The sequence below is a fragment of the Homo sapiens genome, chromosome 13 (assembly GCF_000001405.40).
Source record: "Homo sapiens chromosome 13, GRCh38.p14 Primary Assembly".
In the NCBI taxonomy this organism is placed as follows: Eukaryota; Metazoa; Chordata; class Mammalia; order Primates; family Hominidae; genus Homo; species Homo sapiens.
Genome location: NC_000013.11, coordinates 25,697,576 through 25,723,806, shown reverse-complemented (window position 1 = coordinate 25,723,806; position 26,231 = coordinate 25,697,576). Strand labels below are relative to the sequence as shown.

Sequence of the window (26,231 nt, the reverse complement as noted above, 5' to 3'; positions counted from 1 at the left end):
TGGAAGTAAAACTCATTCCAGCTGCAGTCTCGGGGGTTACGTGGAGGGAGTGCCCCAGAGGGTGAGAAATCCTGGCGCCATCTTGGACTGGAATGCTGCCCAGAACAATGGCTGCAAGCAAACTCCTCTCTCCCATTTTTCACCTACCCCAAACAACAGCTAACAATCGCTACAGCCTCTGTGCAAATGAACTGAATTATCCAGCTTCAATGCAGTTAAAAACAGAAAACAAACAAAATCTGGCTAGATGATGTTTAAAATCAATACAGAAAAGCCAAAAGTAAAAGGAGGTAAAAGATCTGCCAGGCAAATTCTAACTACAAGAAACTCACTGTAGCCAACTGAATATCAAATAAGAGCCTCTAAGGCAAAAACACATTGCTAAAGATAAGGAATGTCATCTCCTTAACAAGAAGAAAAGTATAAAGTTAGAGAAAGGAGATAGCATTTAATATTCACGAGGCTGGTAAAGATTAAAATAAATTGAAAATACAAGTCTTGGCAAGAATGTAGATCTAAGGAAATTTTTATAAACTCCTGGTAATTCACTTAAGAATATAAGTTTGCATTATTTAGTGAAGTTAAAAATGCCCACTCCCCACTACTAAGCAATTCTACTCCCAAGTATTATGTCCAAAAACAAATTTGCCCAAGACATTTACTATTTTTGTAGCCACATCATATGTAACACTTGAAATCTGGCAAGAAGCCAAATGTCTATCACCAGGAGAATAATAAAGTAAGTTGAGGTAAAATTCATACAATGGAACTTTATGTAGCAGTGAGAATGAATACACTCCACCTACAGGAATTAACACGGAGTAAACTCAAGTAACCTTGAACAAAATAACTCATAATGCAGAAAATAATAGACTACAATTCCATTCAAATTTCATGTACTTGATTATGGAGCAAATAAGCAATTTGATTCATTATAGAAACTATGAAGAAACACAAGTGAATGATAAAATTAATAAAATTAGTTACCTTTGTGGGATAGAAAGGAGGATATGATCTTAGGTACACAGGGATCTTGAAAAGACTGAGTGTCTTAGCCAGGGAATTAGAAAAAAATACTTATTTTATTGTGGCTTTTATAAGTTATATGCATTTTTGGTACACACAGACAAAAGTCAAAATAGACAACTAACATACAGCAATGAATTAGTGCCAAGTGTGTGTTACTAATAATAAATTCTGTAGCAGCACCAAAGTCCCTTCTGGATGATATGGGTAGAAAGGGGATCAAGAAAGAGAAGTGTCAAAATACATAGCATGTACAGGATGCAAAACATATACCAGTCTCATTGGTCAGAAAGTCTGCCTGAGAGAAAAGCAGAATGCAAGGCTGAGGCCAATAATGGGGTACCTGTAACCCCAGCAAAATGCAGGCAGCACCCTATAGGGAATGGGGAACTTCCTGATGGCCTTGTTCAAGGAAGTCTTGGGACCAAACAGTACTTTAGTAACCCTCTTAGGTAGCAATCTATTGATGAAGGCCCTGGAAACAAAAGGGATCAGCTACTGCCATCAAGGAAGAAGGGGAAATTGAACTGAGGAGGCTACTAAGGAGCAGAGGGTATTACTGCAATGGGGTTCAGAGCCACGGCTCCCACACTGAGATACCACTGCATACCCACTAGGATGGCTATAAGCGAGAAGTCACATGACATCACATAATATCAAAAAGTCACATACCAGCATTGGCAAGGATGTAGAGGAATTAGAACCTTTCCACACTGCTGGTGAGAGTGTAAAATAAGGCAGCCACTGGGGAAAACAGTTTCATGGTTCCTCAAGAGGTTAAACATACAGTTACCATTCAGCCAGTGATTTCACTCCTGGGCATATACCCAGGAAAAAATGAAAACACATATCCTTGCAAAAACTTGTACATGCGTGTTCATAGCAGCATTATTTATCATAGACAATAAAAGGTGGAAATAGCCTAAATGTCCATCAACTGATGAATGGATAAACAAAATGTGGTATATCCATACAATGGAATATTATTCAATCATACAACAGAATGAAGCACACATACATGGATGTGGATGAACCTTGAAAACACTGTCGTAAGTGGAAGAAGACAGACACATGCAAGACTGCATGATGTATGATTCCATTTACAAGAAATGGGAAGGACAAGCAAATCTATAGAAATGGGAAGTAGGTAAGTGGCTGCTTAGGGCAGGGGGCTAGGGCTGTTCAAGTGTACCAGGTTACCTGTTTTAAAAACCTGATACATAACAGCTGTACATACTCGGGCCTATCTCTCAGCATTCAAGTCAAAATGGATTAAAGATGTAAATGTTAAACCTGAAACTGTGAAACTGCTGGAAGAAAACATTGGGGAAATGCTTCAGGACACTGGTCTGGGCAAAGATTTTTGAGTAAGACCTCAGAGTCAGGCAACCAAAGCAAAAACAGACAAACACAAGCTTTCTCCTAGAGGTGATGAAAATGTTCCTTAATTTAGTGTGATGATGGCTGTTCATATCTGTGACTATATTAAAAACCACTGAACTGTACATCTAAGTGGCTGAGTTATTTAGTATATGGACTGTAACTCAACAAAACTGTTATTGAAAAAAAAAAAAGCTCACTTGAAGTCAGGAGTTTGAGACCAACCTGAGAAACACAGCAAGACCCTTATCCCTACCAAATAATAATAATAATAATAATGAGCCATTTGTGGTGGCATGAGCCTGTAGCCACAGCTATTCGGGAGGCTGAGGTGGGAGGATCACTTGAGCCTAGGAGTTCGAGGTACAGATTGCATCACTGCACTCCAGCCTGGATGACAGAGTAAGACTCTGTGTCAGGAAAAAAAAAAAAAAAAAAAGCTAAAGCTCCCACAGCTCAGACCAGTCAGAGCTGAGGCCTCTCTGCCCAGTCCAGCACTACGTTCAGCCTTGGGACATGGCATCTAACCTTCCTCCCACAGGGTTTTTATGAGGCTATAATAAGACAAGTTGCATGAAGTTCTTAGCAGAGGCTGTCGTAGCACAGGGATTGCTGAAGGCTGAATGAAAAGTTAGACTCAAAAGAAGCAAGCATCAGGAAGTAAGAACTGGAGAATGGTTAAAGGGGACGAGGATGAGGAGAAATGCACATGGTTCTGAGGTTTCACACCTGAGGGGTGGGCACGATGAGCCATCATCAGCAAACGTCCCAGAGTTGCCTTCCTGTGTAAGGGAAGAGGCCACGTGTGAGATGAGTGGACGACCTGAGGGAAGGTGAGAGTTTCACACGGAGATCCCAAGGTCCATAAAGATGAACCTATTTTCTTTGCCAACTCTGAAAATTTGTCCCATAGAAGTATACATTTATCAGAGGTCATGTGGCCAGGCGCAGTGGCTCATGCCTGTAATCCCAGCACTTTGGGAGGCCGAGGCAGGCGGATCACAAGGTCAGGAGATTGAGACCATCCTGGTGAACACGGTGAAACCCCGTCTCTACTAAAAATATAAAAAATTAGCCTGGCATGGTGGTGGGCACCTGTAGTCCCAGCTACAGGCTGAGGCAGGAGAATGGCATGAACCTGGGAGGTGGAGCTTGCAGTGAGCCGAGATTGCACCACTGCAGTCCAGCCTGGGCGACAGAGTGAGATTCCTTCTCAAAAAAAAAAAAAAAAAAGAAAAAGTATACATTTATCGGAGGTCATGTGCAGATAACAGAAATCATGCTGGGTATTTTAACTAGAAGGTAACTTTATACAAGAATTCGGAGCTTATAAAATCAGGAGAGAGACTTGAAGAATAGCCTCTGAGCTGTGCCTCCAGGATGACCCCCAAGACCCAGACACCAGCACAGAGGGGATGCTACATGAGGAAACCTGTCCTCATACCACTGTCTCCAAGCACAGGACACAGGAGCCACCAGAGGCCCCACCAGAGCCCCATCCTTACATTGCCTCCAAGCATGGGCTACAGGGGCCACCATGGGGGCCCCACAGCGATGCCAGCTCTGGGCACAGCTCGCCTGCCAGTCAGGCCAGCAAGCTGATGTCTGGACCACACCATCCCTCTACCCACTTAATTCTGCTCTGTGTTCAAGTCTTACATAAGTGATTCTGACAGGCTAGTCATTTTCAGAACCCTTGCTGCCAGGGGATGATTTTTCAGCTTTCTAGTATCAGCAGGACAGGAAAAGACACAGACGGGAGATTGGAATGGATGTTAAATGATTGAATCTACCTTATCTGCCATCTCATCTCAAAATAACAACAGCTTAATTTTAGTGAGGTGAGTAACAAATGTTCTGGGAATGCTTGCTGCAAGTATCTATCTATCTTATCTATCTCCATCATCCATCCATCCATCCATCCATCCATCCACCCATCCACCCATCCACCCATCCACCCATCCACCCACCCAACCTTTCAATTTAAGAAGCAATGTTCATGTCAGCCTCAGAACTGCTAAGCCAGCTTCTCTTACTAACTGCCACATAGACCCAGCAAGACAGTAGCATCCTTAGAAAAACCAATCTTGCCAAAGCAACAAATTGTTTTTCTTTCTCCTCTGTGAATCAATCAATTAAAACAAGCAATCCCCAAAGGAGAATGAGTAGACAGCACAGGGCTGTAATGTTGTGGAACTGCTTTATTTTCAAAGAAATGAAATAGCAAGACATTCAAAATTAAAGCATAGAGCCGGATCACGGAAGTTTCCGACACGGAGATGGATTCACAGGATCTAAGTGCTCACCTGGGAAAGTCCAGGAAGAAAAGCACTCCCAGAAACTGACCTGTAAGTTTTTCACAGTAGGTCTAATTTAGAGGTGCAGAACAAGGCAAGTCTTCTGAAACCCCGAAACATGCAGAAAATGCCACTGGTGTCCCCACATGCACGCGTATGTTCTTACACATCAACAGGGGCCCATTCCCTTCCACTCCTGCCATTTTTGTACCAACTTGTCTACCTAGTTCTAATCAATGCAAAGAGCCAACCAATTACAACAGAAGAAACGCCTCTAAGTTTCATCTATCACTAAATAAACAGTACGTGTTTGTAAGCCTTTACTTCTAACTAACCTTAGTAAAATCAATGTAAAACAATTTACTGGTGTTTTAATCTTTCTTATTTGGGGCTAAAAAAATCTAATTTCCTTTCTGTGATTCACACTCTGTCTCAGGGGGTGCTCTTGGAGGATGTTTCCTAGATTGGAGCTGGCTCTTTAGCATTCTGTTTTTCAGTACAGTCCCAACTTCTGCACCTCATCAAGTAAAAACAAACAACCCTCTCCCTGGATACTTCTCTAGACACAATAGAATGGCAGCAAAATAACAGCCTACTGGCTCTCAGTGTTGTATACCAGTATGCCAGTGAGCACTCATAACCCAAACCAAAATGATACACACGTAAGAATGAACCAAGAGACTCAGAATACCAGGGCAATAAAACGGGAAAAAAAATGAATAGCAAACGAAAAACTCTACTAATTTATATGTCATTTAAATTTTTTCTGACCCCGAGTCTCTGTGATATTAAGATGTTGCTTAATGAAGTTTTAGATTTGAGGCTTCCTCCAATTCAAGGAACTTACGTAAATCTGTTTTGAAAGATTTACTCTATTTTATTACGACAAAATAAATGACAAATTGATCTTAACCTAATTTTCCCAATGTTATTATCCTACTCTAAAAGGCCACCACGCCACACAAATTAAAATCTGATCACCTGCCCAGTGCCAACATCAAGGGAATAAATGCTGGGGTGCATGGGACATAATTTTGAAACAGGCAACACACACCATGCCCAGACCCTTCCTGCCATCTGCTTCACTGAAACCCTGGGGACTTGCATAGGAGATTGTTTCCTTTTCCTTATAAGCCTGGACTTTAAAGCACTATCATAAAAAACACATAATGTAGTAAGAGGAAGGAAATTAAAATGCCATCGATAAGCGAGGTTAACTTCAATCTTCAATCCAATCTGTGTGCATTAGGTACATGCCAGACCACAGGAACTGCACAACCAAGCACATACTACAAGACCAGCAGCAGCTATACTGAGGGAGGCATTCAGATGAGGGTTGATCTCTCGAAAAGGAAACATATCCACCAAAGGACAGCCATTCATTATACACAGTCGGTGAGATTATAAGAAAGTGGTTTTGGTCTATTTTTTCCCTTCAAAATTTCTTCATTAAACATTTAGTTAGAATTGTTGTATATTTCTTCATTCAATCTTTAGATGCTTTTTGAAAAGAAGAGCTCAACAAAGTAAAAGAAGTACATTAAAGTAGCACATGGCACCACCACTTACCCAGTTTCATAGTTTTGTGATCTAGGGTAAGTGACTTGACCTCCCCTAAGCTTTGGTTTTGTCTGCTGCTGCTGGTAGTGGTAGTGCCTACCTTGGTGTTTTTTTTTTTTTTTTTTAGTTTTTTCAGGATCATATGGAATAATGCCTGGACAGAGCTCAATAGAGAGCCTAACCCATTCTCAGCACTCAATGGCTATCATAACTACCAAAATCCCAAATCCCTGATCCCATTCTCAATAGCTCCTTCTTCCTTACTATTACCTTTCATATGTGACTACAAATCCTCCCAATTTTACATCTAGACCACCCTCAAATCTCTTCATTTCTCTTCACCTCTGTAATCCATGCTACCATAATCTGATGAATGAATGAACGAATGAACAAGCGGCCATTCTTTCAGACAGTCACTCTGGCAATGCTGCCAGCAGGTGGATATGCACATTAAGTGAAGACTCACTGGTGATAGTGGCATGTATAGGCAGCAATGATTAAAGTCACCTTTCTTTCCAGAAAGAGTATTTTCCTAACTCCACTCTAGCCAACCTGCCTCTGAGTCGGTATGTTTGGCCCTTTGAAATTAAAGGAAAAAACTAAATAAGCAATTCATGCTTTATATATTCAGTAGTCCTATAACTTATACACTGCACATCACTGTTTCTTCTCTCACAACTTGTCATCACTGCATTTGCTTCTTTTTCCTCTTTCCTGTTAGGTTTGTATCCCTCATCCTCAGTGCCAGAATGTAAGCTCCATGAGGCCAGGGCTATGTCTGACTTGTTTATGATCATAGTTCCAGTGCCTGGAACAATGTTTTACACGTAATAAGAGCTACATAAATATTTTTCAAATTGATCTCCCCACTTCTATTCTCATCGCTACTCCTTTAAACCCTTCACACCCTGCTGACAGTGATCTTTTAAAAATATACATCTGGCCAAGACCACTCAAAAAGGAAAAGACTGTCTCTTCAACAAATGGTGCTGGAAAAACTGAATATCCATGTGCAAAAGCATGAAACTGGACCTTTATCTTGTAACATATACAAAAACTAACTAAAAGGAGATGAAAGACTACAGGTAAGAGCCAAGCTATAAAACTTGTAAGGGAAAACATAGGAGTAAATCTTCATGATCTCAGATTAGACAATGGCTTCTTAGATATGACCCCATAAGCAACAACAAAAAAAAGTAGATAAACTGGGCTTCATCAAAATTTAAAATTTCTGTGCTACAAACAATACCATCAAGTGAAAAGACAGCCCAATGAATTAGAAAAAATTTTTTGCAAATCATGTATCTGATAAGATACTGACATTAAGACTATATAAAGAATTGCTACAACTCAGTGATAAAAGACAAGCAACCCAATTTAAAAACGGGCAAAGGATTTGAACAGATATTTCCCAAGGAAGATATTCTGGTTATTTGTAGCTAACAAACACATGAAAAGTTGTTCAACATCTTTAATCATCAGGGAAATGCAAATCAAAACCACAGTGAAATACCACTTTATACCCACTAGGATGGCTATGACTTAAAAAAGGAAAGTTTTGGCAAGGATGTGGTGGAACTGGGACCCTCACACATTGCTAGTGGAAATGTATGGGGTGTAATGTATGAAATGTAAAGTGGTGTAGCCACTTAGAAAAACAGTCTGGCAGTTCTGTTTTAGAAGGTTAACCATAGAGTGACCATATACCCCAGCAATTCCACTCCTAGGTATATACCCAAGAGAAATGAAAACATATGTCCACACAAAAATTTGTAGATGAATGTTTATAGAAGTATAATTCATAGTAGCCAAGAAGTAAAAACAACCTAACTATCCGCCAAGTGATGAATAAACTACATGTGATATATCTATACAATGAAATATTTTTTGGCAATAAAAAGAATTGAAATGCTACGACATGAATGACCCTTTGAAGACTTTACAGTAAGTGGGAAAAGCCAGTTGCAAAGCAATGTCCAGAACAGGTAAATCTATAGAGACAGAAAGTAAATAAGTGGTTGCCTTGGGCTGGGGAACTGGAGAGACATTGGGAATGACTAATTGGTACAGGGTTTCTTTTTGGGGATGATGAAATGTTCTAAAATGGAATGTAGTAGTGATAGTTATACTGCTGTATGAGTATACTAATTTGATTGAATTGTATACTTCAAATGTGTGAATTACATGGTATGCTAATATTTCAATAAAGCTGTTATTTTAAAAATACAAATCTGACCACATCATTCCTTTGCTAAAATTTTTCAAAGGTTTCACATTGCACTGAGGAGCAAGTCCAAGTTCCAATGAGACTTGCAGACCTGGGTGATTCGGCCCCAGTTTTCTCCTCCAGCCTCATCTTGCACTACTCCCAACACAACACATACACATAGTAGTTGCTCAATAGACACTAACCTAATGAACTGATTTTACAATAGACTTCAACAGTATTAGCTGTCAATGAAGCCAACTTCACCCTTCATAAGTGGCATGAGAATGGGAAAGCAAATACTAAGGTATATAACTTTCAAATGAAGCATTTATCCAAACTTCTTCATACATATTTTTTTCTATTTCTAGTGTCCAAGCAGAGATCTTAAGAGCACCCTGCACTCAGTACATGCTAACTTGGATACATAAGGCTCCTTGGTTCCTCCAAGAGACTTTTGCATTCTCTTACATGGGTATCTATTTCCTACAAGTAGATAGCCAAGAACATGGAGATAAAAGTAGCTAAGCAGGTGCCCTGCATTGGACAAATAACCAAAGGAGAAAAAAGTTGACCCTGACACCCTAAACATTTTCCATAGTTACAATCACCACTGTTCTCAGCATAACTTCAGCAACTGTCATGAGAAGGGAGTAGGCTGCCTCCAAGAAAGTGAAGGTTTGGTTAGCCTATCACATCATTCATTCATTCACCAATATTTATTGAGTGTTCATTACGTGTCTCGTGTCATTTCCAGTGCTGAGGATGGAAGAGAAGGCTAAGGAGACACAATCTCTGCTCTAATGAAACAAACATTCTGTTGGGTGGAGACAGATTATCAATAATTAGGCAAAAGTATAATAGTATGTCAGGTAGTGGTAAATGCTATCAAGCAAAATAAAGCTATGGAAAGTGGCACTAACAGAGCCAGAGTACTCAAGGTACCCTGCCTTGAGCTGAGAGGGTGACATTTGAGCAAAGACCTGAATCAGGTGAGTTTGCCATGTGTCAGTGGGGCAAAATCCTGTTATAGTCCTGGGGCAAAGCCTGCTTTGAGAGCCAAAGGAACAGAAAGGAGTCCAATGTGGCCGGGACACAGAAAGCAAGGGAGAAGCAGCATCCCACTAGGTTTTTAAATTTAATTCTGAGAGGTCACCAGAAGGTTTTCTTCCTTTCTTCCTTCCCTCCCTCCTTCCTTCCTTCCTTCCTTCCTTTCTTTCTTTTAGCAGAGGGATACAGCTTCTTTTTGAACACCAAACTCTGGGTTAATCAAAGCTGATAGTTAAGGATAGCCACAGAAATCTATATCAGCCTACAGCATTAGAGAAGCTAATAAATTTAAGAATTCAACGTACCTAAGATCAAAGGCATCTAATTGCTGAAATACAAGAGACCAAGCATCTAATTCATAACTGTACAGTCTACGTAATTTTTACTGGCCAGCTCTTCTCCCAGGCCCTGAGTCTCACAGAGGCAGGGGTTGTGCTGGGCTGTGCTGATCTTGTCCACCACGGTAGCTGCTAGCTACCCTGGGGAGCTGCTAGCTCCCCAGGACCCAGAACATGGCACGTTGTTTGTCAGGAAACATATTTGCGACACATATGCTCAATATTCATTCAGCACACACACAGATGGATTTCAAAGTCATCTCAAGAACACGAAGTGACCTGCATTTGAAATAATCCTTAGGAGACTTGTGAATTGACTAGAATCGCCTCAGAAAAAAGTACTAAGTTATAAACAACAAAAACTTATGAATCACTAACTACTAGATTCAAGAAAGACTTTTCTAGACTCCTGACTGAGAATCTCGGTACAAGGCAATGAGAGCTTTCTGGTTTTTTCCTGCAGAACGTCTACATGAAAGCTGTAGCACCAAAAATAATGCTGATTGGCTGCAGGGTTTTGAAAAGTGGGCTAATATAAATTTGTTCTAAATCAATATCCTTTCATGCACACATAAAAGCAAGTTTGAAGAGCATAATGCATATAAACTGGTGAAAAATTCTAAATCAATAAAACTTGCCTCTTAGCCCTATCAGAAAAAAACAGACGTAGTGGGAACGATGACATTTGTTACACAGAGTTGTAAAAAATGCCTTTCAAGTTAGAAATAGAAGATGCGATTTCTGCTTTCTAAAACTTACAGCAAGACTGAAATATGGAGTGGGCTAACAAAGTTGAGAATTTAGTAAAAGAGAAGCGTACATCATTTTGGGAAAGGGGAGAATTCTATACAATGAGCACTATCTACATTTTTAGGGATTAAATTGCTAAACTTAAACTGAGACAAGATAAATCAAGTTAATCTCAGGATAGTTTTAATGGAAGACATGGTATAGTAAACTAAATATAACAGGGTTTTAGTTCCATGAGGATAATTCTTACTTTTGCTTTTATCAAATGAAATAACTTATCTTTGCTGGAATCACATAGTTTTAAACATGAAGAATACCCAGGTATATTTTGCAAGGAAATATTCTTAAGGCTACTATCTCTTACTCAAGCAATTCTCCCCACCCATCATCCCTACCCGACTTTCCGACCCTTTTAACATACACCAATTCAGTTTACTAGAAAACTCCAGTTGACTAAAAATTCTACAGTAAGAATTTTTAATACATAGCCTGAGCAGTATGGAAATCTAAGCTTAGTATTAGGTTGGCTTTTATTATGTCTTTTGTCTCGTGTTACACACTCGTGGAATCACTGATATCCTTTTTATGTATCATCTAGTCCCTTATGGTTTCAGCAAATCCACAGGATTACCCTGCTATCAGTAGCACATGGATTTCATACCAAACAGGCTTATTATTCAGCAAGGATGCTCAAAGTCTGGCCCCGCCAGTCACCTGCCCAGGAGGACTGAGTTATGGGAGAATCCTTCACCTTCCTCAACATTTCTCGTAGTCCTGAGTGTGCACCTAGAAAGAGGTATTTCCTACAAGGCTCATCTTCCAGGCTCCAGGGTTTCTAGTGGGCAGCAGCACTAACTGACATAAGCCACCTCCACACCTGGAAGATGAAGACCCTCATGGTACTGTGCAGACTGAGAGATAGGTAGAAGAATTCCTTTCTAATGGGGAACTCTGTGGACACCCCTGACCCATTAAGCCAAAAGTCAAAGAGCAGTCTAATAAATACATCTGGTTGAAGCAAAGTAACTTGATACAGGAGTGAGACTGTATCCTTGACTCATGGTTTCTCTCTCCTTTTCATCCTATAGCCCTGTACACTATGGTGACTAACCAGAAATGGGCATTCTGTAAATGCTAGATACAAAATAAATAAATAAGGAGGCATTTTTTTTCTAGCTTCAGATAGATTGATAGCCTGTAACTGGGAGAATATGGGCTTGGCAGAATCCTACCTGCACCAGAAGTGAACACCCAGCAGCTGGTGGTAATTCTAAACATCTCACAATGCTGGAAATGAACTCCTCCTCCAGGACCCCCTCTGACATGAGCTCTCTTACAGCAGTGCTTCATCTCTACCCCATCTCACCATCCCCAAGTACATTCAGTCAGTCACTAAGAATTACAGATTCTAACTCTTAAATGACTATAAATCTGGATCATAGTCCATTCCAGAGAATCTGGAAATTCAGTCCAACTTTTCTTTCTAACACCTACTATGTGCCAGAGACTTGTGACCCTAGTGGAAGTCTAACATGTGCTAAATTGAAGTATTACACGGGCCTCTACCTTGCATATGAACTCTAACTTGACCTCCATAGTGTTGCCTTCTCCTAAGGCTCTGTTTGCTTTAAAAAAAATTTTTTTTTTTTAAATATAGAGATGTGGTCTCACTGTGTTGCCCAGGCTGGTTTAGAATTCCTGGCCTCACACAACCTTTTCGCCTCAGCCTCCCAAAATGCTGGGATTACAGAAATGAGTCACCATGCCCAGCCTGTGATCTAGCTCTGCTACTCTGCTCAAAATACTTTAATTCCATACCATTATCTTTAGAATAGTCTCTCAGCATGGACTCCAGAGTTCAAATCCTGAAACTGTTCATTAATACCTACAGGACTGGCCAGGCGCGGTAGCTCACGCCTGTAATCCCAGCACTCTGGGAGGCCGAGGAGGGCTGGTGTCTTGAGGTCAGGAGTTCGTGACCAGCCTCGTCAACATAGTGAAACCCTGTCTGTACTAAAAATACAAAAATTAGCTGGGTGTGGTGGCACGCCCCCTGTAATCCCAGCTACTACGGAGGCTGAGGCAGGAGAATTACTTGACCTGGGAGGCGGAGGTTGCAGTGAGCTGAGTTCGCACCACAGCATTCCAGCCTGGGCGACAGAGTGAGACTCTGACTCAGAAAACAAAAAAAATACCTAGAGGACCTCAGGATATATCTTTGTTAGTCTATGCCTCAGTTCGCTAACCTATAAAATAAGAGCAATAACTTTCCTCTTCATTTTCAGGATTCTCAGGAGTAGTAGATGTTAGTGTTTGCAGAGGGTCTGGACATCACGATAGCTTGAGTGCTAGCCTCTTGATGGCATTAGGATTTCCCACCACACACTCATCCCTTGGAGTTTACTAGGCTGTGTCATCTCCCAAGATTCAGCTTTCATAGCACCTCATGCTGTGACTGTGTTACCATTTGTCATAACCAGACTGGCCTTCCCACCAGATTGAGCCCTCTAGGCAGGCAAAGGTTGTGCCATTTGTGTTCACCCAACAACCTTAAACAGTAGGTACTCCCTCAAGTTGGGTCACAGTGAACAGCCTGGCCAGTCCTGGGAGCTGGCCTGACAAGCAGTGTGGTTACCTGTTCAACCACACTAATAAAAGCCTGTTTCAAAAAAATATTAGGATCAAATACAAAATAGATCTTACGGAGACCTATAAGATGTCTAAAAGTCCTCTCCTAAGTAGAATGCTGGGTACCAGAGGCTGGGAACAGTGGTGAGGATGGGAGATACAGAGGGGTTGGCTAACGGGTACAAACATACAGTAAGATAAAAGGAATAAGATCTGATGCTCAGTAGCACAACAGGACACCTATAGTTAACAATAATTTATTGTATATTTCAAAATAATTAAAACAGCGGAGTTGGAATGTTCCTAACACTCAAGAAAAGATAAATGCTTGAGGTGATAACACCCCAATTACCCTGATCTGATCATTACATATTGTATGCCTGTATCAAAACATCACATTTATCCCATAAATATGTACAATTAGTACGTATCCATACTTTAAAATTAAAAATTAAAAAAAATAAAAGTCTCCTCCTTCTCCACAACATTATCTAAACACATGTGAAACTAAACCAAAGAAATCTTGAGCTTGAGACATTCTGAAGTAGAAATGTAGAAATGCAAGACACCCAGCGATGAGTTATCCTGAAGACTCTTGGCAGCAGATTTCAAATAAAGGAAACACAAATATGACCACAGAAAGATCCTACTTTATTTCTTTAACATCTCTAATTATAATTATTTCAAAACTTCAAGAAATGTTGGTATCAGCCCTTAATTGCATTCATTATTCATTATTTTTAAGTATTATAACTAGGTTTATATTGGCATAGGCTAATACTACAGTTATAGGTACACGGGATTATAAATTCAGATCTAAGTGTCATTAAACTAATATCATTCAACATTTACTTTTTTCCCTTAAAAAAAGACTTAATCTGCTTCTATATTATTGTTAAACTTGTTCCCATATTTGATAATTCAAAATTCATTTCTCAATGTGAAGCATCATCGTTTGAAAACATTGAGCTTAAATGTATAGTCATGTGTTCATGTATCTACATAGAAACATATATTCCCTACTATTGTTATTCTGTTTCAGAAAAAAAACTCAGTATCTATTCATCATGATTTTATATAGAGAAATTAAGAACTTAAGGTTCAATCATCTGTAAAGAGGCAAAATAATTGTGATAACACAGGAATCCTAATTTCTCAAGCTCTAATATCTTCATACCACACCCATCCATTAAAACAGACAAGAGTAAGGAAAAATGCACAAATGATTGACAGGCAGTTTTAACTTGGCACTTGTATATTTGTGAAAGGATTATCTTCAACTTGGTGTATTTACTTTGGTCTTTAATGATTGGTGTGTCCAAGTGGTGAAAGGACGCCACTATGAATACTTGCTTAGTAAGAGAAAAAAATGCATGCTCTGTTTTGCTCAGATGACCCAGGTGTCAAGAATTTGATGGGACGGTTGGGGAGGGGGTGTCTGTCTGTCTCTCTGTCTGTCTGCCTCTCTCACTTACAGGCCTGTCAGAAACTAAACCACTGGCGACAATTCAGCCCTGGGACTCTCACAGAGCTCAGTTAACTGGTTAACAAGAAACAACAGAAACCAAATCATTCAACAGACCCTCTCAGACTCTGCTGACCCAGCAAAGCTCTGCAGATGACAATGGTCATAAGGCGCAGACATCACCAATCATAAAACTCAAACCAAGCACAGGCTCCCAAAATTTGGCAACTTTAGTTAGCTCTGTCAGTCTGACCTAGCTCCTGCTGACAAAATTTACTTGTGACCCTAAATAAGACTAAATATTAAAAAAGTATAAACATTCCTCTTTGTCATTTGTTTCCTCTCTAAAGTTCAACGAGTAAGAAACAATGGGAGAGGCTTAAAATAGAGAAACTGCAGTCTAGATGTGGCATAGTAGTAGATGTGGCTACACCTTGCTGACTGTAATCTTGGGGCTTCCTATTCAAACTGGAGGACAGTAAAGCTCCCAGGATGGAGTTTTTTTTTTATGGTTTTTAAAGTCATAGGCAGAATACTGGCTGTCAAAATCAGGCAAGGGAAAGCATTGATAATTCAGGAGGTGACAGATGAGGGAAAGTGTCAGATGTATAGACAGGAAAATGGATAACATAATTTTCTTTGGGACCAATTAACGTAAGAGCTATTTTGCATACTTTCAATCAGAAAGGTGTCAGTGTTGTCAGAAGTGAAATTTTTTCCTGATGAAAGTTAACATGACACATTCTTGTATTAATGAAACACATTCTGAATTATTTCACAGGAAAGAGGAGAAAAAGCACTTTAAGTACAAATACCATCACAAGGCAAGACTTGGGGACATAAATATTCATGACATATTCCACATGTTTAATTAAGCTCTGTTCTTGATTTTCTTTTCTGGTTTGTTTTTCTAGTAGGAAAGATGCCAAATATTATGAGCTTCTACTTCAGAATTTTAGGCCACAGTGTGACCTCGTATCACCCTGTTTCATTTGGCAAGCAGTATTGTCAAAAATGACATGCACTGATGAAGTAATCATTCATGAAAAAGGGGAAAGGAAAAAAAGAAACACAGGAAAAGTCTTGAAAAGTCATGTGTCTGTGAGCTCTTCTGGTGTCTCACAAGGGTCCCCATGTGTTGAAAGCTGCAGAGCGGATGGATGGGAGATCACACAGACCCTATTACCATAGTTCTTAGACTACTGCCAAAAGAGGAAAGGGCTTCATTACTCCCACTGTTCAGTTTGCATCTGAGCTTCTGCAAACAAACACTAGTGTGAAGGTACTCAGTGGAGGGGAACTTGTGCCATGTAAATCAGGTTTCAGAACCATTAGGAAAAGTAGGTCTACTATATAAGCAAAATGATATGGTAATAATTTTATAAGCCAAAAAAACTCCAAAGAGATGTGTTCCCAATTACACAGCATATTATTATAGATCAATCCTCATTATTAAATGCCCCTTGGCAAGTATTCTCAACATGTTATCCACGTCTATTCACTCAGTTGCTCATAGCTGACAAGCAGAAGAGCTTCCTGTATTTTCAATCTTATACTAAATATTTGTCCACATTTTTATCACATGTACTATATTGCTCCCCACCAAATTGTTTTATTAGTCCAGGACATAAGAAACAAAGTTGATACGCTACTTTTTAAAAAATTTCTCACCTGAAATAGTAACACCCAGATAGTGATGATATATAACTTTTAGTTAGAGGGGAATCAAAACGTCAGAAATCCCTAACAGTTAGAAATTGATCTTATAGAGTAATTCATATAAATTATTTGCTGCAATAGGTATTTAAGATGAGAATTGCCCTCCATTTCTAAATGTGCTATCATCAAAATTAGCTTTAATTTCAAAAAGCTTGTTTTTTTTCCTAAGCTGTAAATAATTATTTAGAAATGGTTTCCTTTTCCTACTTTAGATTAATACTCAAGTCTCTACATATTCTGGCCTCTACAATGATTCACGTGAGCTATTTTTAATATACTACAAAATCTGCATCAGTCTAGTTTTATTCTAGAGAAATTATGGTAAGATCTGTGGGTGGAAAAACAGTGTTTAAGCTTTGGGCTTTGAGAAATTTTTTTTCCAAGATGGTGCTGAAGAACTATTACATCTGAGCGCTCTCATCCTTAATAAAATAACAATGAAGCCATTTAGAACCAAATAAAATTGCTGTAATCATTCAAACAATAGCATTCATGTTAGAGTTAAATTTAAAAAAACCTATCTAAAAGTGAATTCTACCTTAATTGCATGCAATCAACAAATGGGCAAATATATACTAAGCCACAATCAAACAGCCCAAGGATAGACTTACAGCCTCGACAAGTTAATAATGCTCTCTGGAATAGGATGTCAAAGTAGGAAGCTGGCTTATAACTAATCGTTCATGATGCTGAGAAATCACATCATGAATGAAACTAAAGAAAAGTTTTATTTGTGCAAGTGTACAATTGGATCCCTACCAATATGGAGGCCAACTAAAACACAATTGGTGGTACAATTCTAATTACTGCATCTGAACTCTGTTTTGACATAATTCTGTGTGTAGTTCACAGGCTGAAGGATACCACACACAAAATGCATAACGTTCTGATTTCCTATTATCCATCATGCCTCATTAAGGTAAAAAAGCTAAGCTGGGGAAGGAACCAAATCAGAAGAGCCAGTTCTTTTCTACATTAAGTAGTCTAAAGTTAAGACAGATGTCCACCAGGTTTTTTAATGCAGGCTAAGTGAGTGATAAGCTTAGGATAGGCTGGAAGACTGACCTGACGTTGGGAATGATACACTGCCAGTGTGTTAAAATGTTGGACAGTATATATATACATGTATACATATACATACTTTCACAAAATAACCTCTAAACTGCTCCCCTTTCTTAGTGAGGCTAACAAACCCCAAACTGGGGCTTGGAATCCATACTATGCTTACTAAACAGAGGAGAATATGTTTGTCCCAGCAGGGACTAAGCTACTAGTCATCTCTCTCTGACTCTAAGCCAATTCATCTTACTTTCTGAGTCTAAGGCTACAAGCCCTTTTGCAAGTTTCTATGTTGCTTATCCTTGAATCCATTATTGTTTTATGGACATCATCAAGTGTCTTTGCAACTATTCATGTAAAAAACATTGTTAACCTGACTATCCATCAATTAGGAATAAATTAATTGCTGTGTTTTCATATAACAGAACACCATTATGCTTTTAAAAAACAAATTTGACATAGAAACTGTGTATAACCTTTAACTTTGCATATTGTAAAAGGTGTAACCCTTCGTCCAATGAAAAGTGTTTTCACAGAAGGAGATCAAGACTTCACAACCAATTGTCAACAGTGCTAATCCCTAGTTGGGGGGATTGTGAATGCCATTTTCTTTCTTCTTGTTTGTCTGTATTTTCTAATTTTTTACAAAAAATATAAATCACTCTTACAGTTAGAAAAATAAACCCAAGAAGTCTTTTTAAACATTCAGTGCGTCCACTCGGCCTTTTTCTCTCTCCTGTTTTCAAATCTATGATATCACAGCAGGCTTATACATGTTTATCTTTGAATCTATCCTGAAAGACAGAAGTCTAAACATATCAGAGAAAATAAATGATGCCTTTGGAAACCCTTAATTTGCACATCCCGTGGAAATCCCTGCCGCGGTGTTTTCCTTCCACTCCATCTCTTGCCCAGAGATGTGAAGCCGTAAATCACATCTGCTAATGAGGCAGTGCCCAGCGGCCCCCATGTCACCTGTATTTGCTGGGGACTCTGATGGGGCCATCACTAACGTCCTCACAGGGGGTCACTGATGATTCTTTCATGACTCTTTTCCTGACGAGACAGTCACTTTAAAGATTTCTGAGTGTTCTCAAGAGGTCAAAGTCCTCTCCCCTGGTAGTCTGTGCTAGAGAATTTATCTCCATTTGGACAAAAATAAAGACCTTCAAAGAAAAAGGGAAAATGAGAAAGGGGGAAGAAAGAACAGATAACTCTTTCTTGAACATATTGAAAATGGTTTACACATTTTCCACATAACTTTCACCCCTTTGGAGAATGACAAATCCTACAAGACTTTATGTTGATTTCTTGAATAAGTCTAAACATATAAGACAGTTGAAAAATATGTGAAAAGCAAAACTTTCGTGCAAAACTGTATTATCAGTAATAAACGTGTGACAATGAATTAGCTGACACAGCCAACTGTGTGACTTAAGAGCATAGGCCCTGATATTATTCAGATAGAACATAAAATGCTATCTCTTCCACTCCTAGCTGAGACCACAGACAACATGATATAATTTTTCTGAGGCCTTTATTTCCTTATTTATAAAACTAAATGCAATACTGAAAAGGATAAACAAATTAAGAGATTTTAATGTCTGACCTCAATTTAATAATGTGCTTATATGGTTTAATCTCTCTAAAGGTCCCCTAGATATAAAACCATGCTTGCTAATGCTGTCAAAAGGCCCTGGCACTGTGGCTCATGCCTGTAATCTCAGCACTTTGGGAGGAGGAAGCAGGAGGATAACTTGAGGCCAGGAGTTTGAGAGCAGCCTGGGCAACATAGCAAGCCTCCATCTCTATAAAAAAATTTTAAAAATTAGCCAGGCATAGTGGCATGCTAGTCCCAGCTATTTGGGAGACTGAACAGGAAGATCGCTTGAACCCAGGAGGTCAAGGCTGCAGTGAGCTGTGTTTGTGTTCATGGCACTGCACTCCAGACTAGGTGACAGAGCAAGACTGCCTCAAAAAAAAAAAAAAAAGTCCTAGATGTGGTTGGATGTACAGAAACTGGAGCTGAAGTGAGGGGCCACGCTGGACAAGCAGATGGCAGAAGTTGTCTTCTCAACCCTGACTGCTGTTTAGAATCAACAGGTAACTAAGGAGAAGAGAGGTGCCACGGGGAGTTTGTAGAATTTCTAGAGTTCTGATTTTATTGCTCTGAGGAAGGGCCTGGGAATCAGACTCTTTATTTTTCTTTCCACAAACATTTCATTTAAACTAACAAAACTTCTGCTCAAAGGATTCATTTTTTATAATCAACAAACATTTCATTCAAATGAGTGAACTTTCATTCAAACATATCAGTTTTTTAATTCAACAAACATTTCATTTAAATGGATGAATTCTTTTATTCATTTATTTATATTTTACTGAGGTAGAAATCACATAAGATAAAATTGACCATTTTCAATTGAGTGGAATTTAGTATGGTCACAATGTTGTACAATTATCCCCTGTAGCCTGTTCAAAAACACTTCATCATCCTCAAAAGGAAATCCCATGCCCACTGAGCAGTCACTGGCCATTCTTCCTCCTCCCAACCGCTGGCAACCACTAGCCTGCTTCCTGGCTCTGTGGATTTGCCTATTCTGAGTATATGATAGGAATGGAATCATATAATATGTGGTCTTTTGTGACTGGCTTCTTTCATTCAGCCTGTTTTCAAGCTGCATCCACATTGTAGCACATGTCACTACTTTATTTTTTTTTATGGCTCAATAATATTCCACCGTATGGATTCATATGTGGGTTGTTTTCCAATTTGAGGCTACTGTGGGCCGTGCTGCTATGAACATTATGGACATGCACATACAAGTATTTGTTTGAGTGCCTGTTTTTAATTCTTTTGGGTGTATACCTACCTAAGAGTGCAATTTCTGGGTCATATGGTACTTTCCAGATTTAGCTTTTTGAGGAAAATATGTTTTTAAAAAGTTCTCAGCCAGGTGCAGTGGCTCATGCCTGTAATCCCATCACTTTGGGAGGCCGAGGTGGGCAGATCACAAGGTCAAGAGATCGAGACCATCCTGGCCAACATGGTGAAATCCTGTCTCTACTAAAAATACAAAAATTAGTTGGGCATAGTGGTGTGCGCCTGTAGTCCCAGCTATTTGGGAGGCCGAGGCAGGAGAATTGCTTGAACCTGGGAGGTAGAGGTTGCAGTGGGCTGAGATAGCGCCACTGCACTCCAGCCTGGCAACAGAGCGAGTCTCTGTCTCAAAACAAACAAACAAAAACAACAACAAAAAAGTTCTCCAGATGATTCCATATGAAGCTGGTGTTGTGAGAAGTCACTAATGTATAAGATGAATGAGGCCATCCGACACATTAAATGGAAGGCACACGGGGAGATGTGGAGTGGGAATACGATAGGACCAGAGGTAAAACCTTGGGAAAACAACACTTCACAGGCAGCCAGAAAGCCCATAAAGGAGACAGATAACTTAAGGAGAAGAGAAAGGTGCCACAGAAGAAAAAGAGAACCCCTCAAGGGAAGAGCCCTCAACACCAGATGCTGAAAGGATCTGAAAATCAAGCACAAAAGGGAGTCTGCTGCATGTGGCCAGATGGAGACCCAGCTATGCCTTCTTCACTAAGGGCTGGGTTTCAAGGAATTGGGATGTATGTGAGATGCAAAGGAATAGAGGCAAATACAATAACATAGTCTCTTATTCACTATTTGCACTTCTACACCAAAGGCCACGTCTCCTCTCCTTATTCATCCATGACACTAGGAATTTGCAATGTAAATGTCACAATACTTGCAAGCCCACAATAAAAACCTTGGACTGGACCAGTTTACACTTCAACTAATTACATGGCAACACCCCTGCCAGATACAAAGTAAATTATACTGGAGTGCTGACTATATATGCCCTCTCTAGGATTTTAACCATATGGAAAATATTCGGGTACAGAAATGCATAATTAGCAAATTGTTTGATTCTAATTTCAGCAAAATATTTAATAAATTCTTGCATTCCCTTCTTTTTGCTGCCTAAAGTACTGTTTTAGTTTAAAGGTATTTATTTCTATACAACATCACCAATTTCTGAATCAATATTGATAGGAACATGCTTCATGATTTCATAGACCAGTTATTTTCTGAAAAAAAATTACTTCTTTCATTATTAGAGAAATAGGTAACTCTCACAACTATTATATTTTGAAGATGAAAAGTGAAAATTAAGGTCAACTTTATGTTTGAAGCCACATATTAAATTTAGCTTAAGTTTAAATTTTCAATGAATAGTAAGTACATCTGAAGTGTACAAGTGCTTTTTTCTTTTTTTTAAGTACATGTTGATTTTTTTAAAATCTTAAGTATGAGATCAGCCAAGAAATGTCTCCAAGAGCAGGAAAATGATGCACTATCCTAAATTCCCTTTTTCAATTAATGCTTCCATTTTGTAGACTGTAACAGTATTTAATTTGAAATTTCCTCTTTCTGTGCCAATTCCAGTTTGAACTCCCCTTTGAAGTCTTCAAGTATATGGCCTATGAGACACACAAAGCACTGTGAAGCAGTCACAGCAAGAAGGGGAAAAAAGTGTGTGTGTGTGTGTGTGTGTGTGTGTGTGTGTGTGTGTGTGTTTTAGTATCAAGCACCTGGCAAGAAAAGAACATGTTCCTGTAAACCCTTACAGGCATTCCTGGATCTCCCCTGAGAATCCAACGGACTCATTTTGATTTCCCTCTTAAAAACTTATAAGGTTTTAGGGTGTTTGCATTGGGTTACAGTTTACCAGACTTTTCCACGTTGTTACTTGTTTTTGTCCACCAGCGAGTCAGGGGGATGACCCCTTGATCAACAGGGCAGTGGCAGGCAGAAGTGGCTGACTCCCATGACTCACGGCTCTGAGGTAGAGCAGTAACAACCTCCAGTGTGGAGAAATTCATAAAATCAGGTACCCACCTACTCAGCAGCTTTACAATGTAGAAACAAAGGGAAATTTATGAATAAAAGTATTTCCCCACCATTCTTTCCATCCTGTTTTCCATTTGCATAGCCCTAATCTAAACTGCTCAAATAGAACCCAGGAAAGAAAGCACAGGATCAGCTACTTTAAAAAGAGAGCTCATTAGCTATGACACCAAAAGCACAAAAGAAAAAGATAGATAAACTGGCCTTTGTCAAAATAATTTTGCTGCAAGTAATACTATCAGGAAAGTGAAAAGGTAACCTAAAAGGGGAAAAACTGCAAATCATCTATCTGATGAGATACTTGTATCCAGAGTAGCTAAAGAACCCTTATACCTCAATAATAAAAAGATAATCCAACTTAAAAATGGGCAAAGGATTTGAATAGACATTTCTCCAAAGAAGATATACAGATGGCCAATAAACACATGAAAAAACGATCAACATCATTAATCAACAGAAAAATTCAAACCAAAAGGACAATGCGATACCACTTCACATCCTAACTAATCAAAAAGATAGCTAGCGACAAGTGTTAGCATGGATATGGAGGAACTGAAACAATCACATATTGCCAGTGGGAACAGAAATGGTGCAGCCACTTTGGAAAACCATCTCGCAGTTCCTCAAAAGGTTAAACATGGAGTTACTGCATGACCCAGCAACTCCATTTCTAGGCACGTACCCAGAGGAGTCGAAAACCTACGTCCAAACAGAAGCTTGTACATCAATCTTCACAGTAGCATTACACGTAACAGTCAAAAAGGGTAAAAAACCCAAATTCTCATACATTGAGAAATGGATAAACATGTGTTACATCTAAACAATGGAATATTACTCAGCCATAAAAAGAAGGAAGTACTGACACATGAAACAACAGGGATGGAGAGAAGTCAGAAAAAGAACAGGCTAATTAGAGAGACAAGTGAGTAGATGATTGGTTGTTTGGGATGGGGGTGAAGGCGTGCAGGAAGATGGGATTAACTGATAATGGATACAGGAGTTTCTTTACGGGGTGATGAAAATATTCTAAAATTGGTTGTGATGATGGTTACATAATTTTGTGAATATACTCAAAGGCAATGAATTGCTTTCAATAGGTGAACTGTATGGTATGTGAATTGTATCACAATCAAGCTATTCGAGGAAAAGAGAAGGAGGCCATCATAAAACCCAGAAGCAGTGTATTTCAAGGTGCTCTGGCCATTGCTCCCTGCACCAGGTCCCCCACAGCTGCACCAGGTTTCCTGACTTAAAGGTACAACAGACTTGTCACTCATTGTTTCAAACACATTTGAATTTGTCCTCATCCCCATGGTCCCTGAATATCCTGTGACCATAGGCATAAAACTGACATGCCTTTCCACTACTGATGCTCCACTAGCCAGCCCCTCCAGCTCTCTGTGACCTTTGGTGACCACTCATCTTTCTAGTGGTTTACTGTCTTTATAATTCTGTCTGACTTTCAAATTTCTATCAGAACTAGACCTCCACATAGCCAGCAGCCAATGGAATGTAACAATCCCCCACCACTGCCAACTGAAAAAAAAAAACCTTCCCAGGAAGGGAAGAACCTACAAAGATTTCTGGTTAGATTTTACCACAAAAATTGCTATCACATGAACCCGACCAAAGCTCCTCCTTAACTGAAAAGAAATACCCCAACAAACGCCAGAAAAGAAGCATCAAAGCCCCACACATCTTGGAAGTTGAGCTCAGACATGTGCAGTAGGTTGGACCCCAGTAATTTCTCAAAGGGGCTTGAGGCAGTGTTTTTCCAATTTATCCCCCATGGTGAATGTGACTGGAAGCCCTGGTTCTTACTCTTTTTATCTTCTCAGAAGACAATAAACAAAACAAAAATGTAAAAACCACTAACTGCCTCTGCAAAATCTGTGCACCAACAGTTAAAAATAAATTTGTATTTTTGTTTTGCCTTTTTTAGATACAAAACTTTAAACCTAGAATTCCCATGCATCCCTTTCTTTTGTATAAGCACGGGATACAGACACAGCAGAGTGTGAACTGTGCACAGCCTGCAGGTTCCTACCTGCAGCATATGACCGCTTTGCACGAGAGTGCCAAATCCAGGAAACTCCTCCGGACTTCGAAGGAGAGCGCGTACTTCAGGGTGTGGCCATCGATGATCAGGGCCACGTCATTTTCCTTGCCCAGCAAATTCCCAAGGTCAGTGCAGTGCTGAGTAATGGCTGCCCTTGTGGCCTGAAACAAGAGTATAGGGGAAAATCACATTTTTTGTGTGTTTAATATCAAAAACAAAATAGAATTCAAAATTAAGTTTCTTGAAATGAGAACACACCCATTCTAATATAAATATACTATCAGTTCAGCTTTGCACATTTATACATTAAAATTTCAATGCAATGCCCTCTGGGTCTGTTTTATGGGTACAAACATCTTCATAGTGAGATCTGTTAGAAATTTACAATAATCCACTTCTTTACACTACATACACATTATTCTTGGTGCCCCTAGAATAGAAAACTCCATATAAACAAATGTGCTTTTTGGGGAAAGATAGCATTATTGGAACTTGAATGGCAAACACTAACATTTCTCAGTTTGCATAAGATAATCTTTAAAGCATCCAAAAGATAAAAATATGACAAAATATTAATTTTGAATCCTGCTGAGATCTTCAGATTAAACCATTCTCTCCATGCATTGCCAGCGTAAGAAATAAGCTGATCATTTTTCCCATGTTATAGAAAGTATCTAATCAAGTTAAACTGCCAACACCTACCAAAACACTACTACCAGCCTTAAAAGCATCTTGGTGTAATGTCCATTATCACATGGAATTAAAGCACAATAACATTTTTTAGATTTAAAAAAAAAGTGGGCTGGGCACGGTGGTTCACGCCTGTAATCCCAGCACTTTAGGAGGCCGAGACAGGAGGGACTGCTTGAGCCCAGGAGTTCAAGACCAGCCTCAGTAACATAGAGAAACCCCGTCTCTACGAAAAAACTAAAAAATTATCCAGGCATGGTGGTGTGTGTCTGCTGCATGTCTGTAGTCGCAGCTACTCTGGAGGCTGAGGTGGGAGGATCGCTTGATCCTGGAAAGTTGACGCTGTAGTGAACACTGAGCACACCACTCCAGACTGGACAACACAGTGAGACCCTGTTTCTTTAAAAAAAAAAAAAAAACAGACGTTCTTGTTTTCACAGTGAATTTATGACTATGAACAGGATATCTCACTCAAATATAAGAATGTAATTTTGGGCTCATAAAAAATATGGTTTAAGTTAATTGGGAAGCACAGAATTCTGCTGAAATTATTCTGTCTGGAAGACGACTATTAAGTAACATTCATATGCAATTTATTATATGATAAGGTAAATTGCAATCTTAAAGAAATATGTTTAATTAACAAGAATCCTTCTACCTCTAGTAAAATTGAGGATCAGCTACTATTAAAAAGTGAGAAACAGGTTCCAGAAAACTGTCTTATTGTTCAGTGTTTATTCTCAAAAAGTGACTTTTGACAATTTCATAAAGATTTATTTAAGAAAGATGTAGTCTAGAGCCCTGCATTGTGGTCAGATGACCTGGGTTCTAGTCCAAGCTCTCTACTTGTTACCTCTGTGACCTTCAGCAAGACACTTAGCCTCTTTAAATTGCCATTTTCTTATGTGTAAAAAGGAGCTAAAAACTTCATAGCACTTTTCTTATGAACAAATAAACTAATCAACGTAAATTATTTAGCACGGGACTTGGCATACAGCAAACACTCAGTAAAACCCATTCTTCTTCCTCTTACTATTTATTCATCAAGAATTTCCCCTATCTGGGCCA

The 26,231-nt window shown here is 39.3% G+C and overlaps 1 protein-coding gene across 11 annotated transcripts in view; it reads right to left on the bottom strand.

Annotated features, from left to right (window-relative positions):
• The window catches only part of ATP8A2 (ATPase phospholipid transporting 8A2), a 653,878-nt gene that overhangs the window by 302,045 nt on the left and 325,602 nt on the right, over nt 1-26,231 (bottom strand). For 10 of the 11 annotated variants that reach the window (NM_016529.6, NM_001411005.1, NM_001411006.1 and 7 more), the window contains one exon: nt 24,462-24,634. In NM_016529.6, the coding sequence (NP_057613.4) occupies nt 24,462-24,634 (173 nt within the window). Of the gene's footprint in view, nt 1-18,453; nt 18,645-24,461; nt 24,635-26,231 lie in introns of those variants that run through there. The other variant, XM_011535113.3, reaches the window with a different exon arrangement.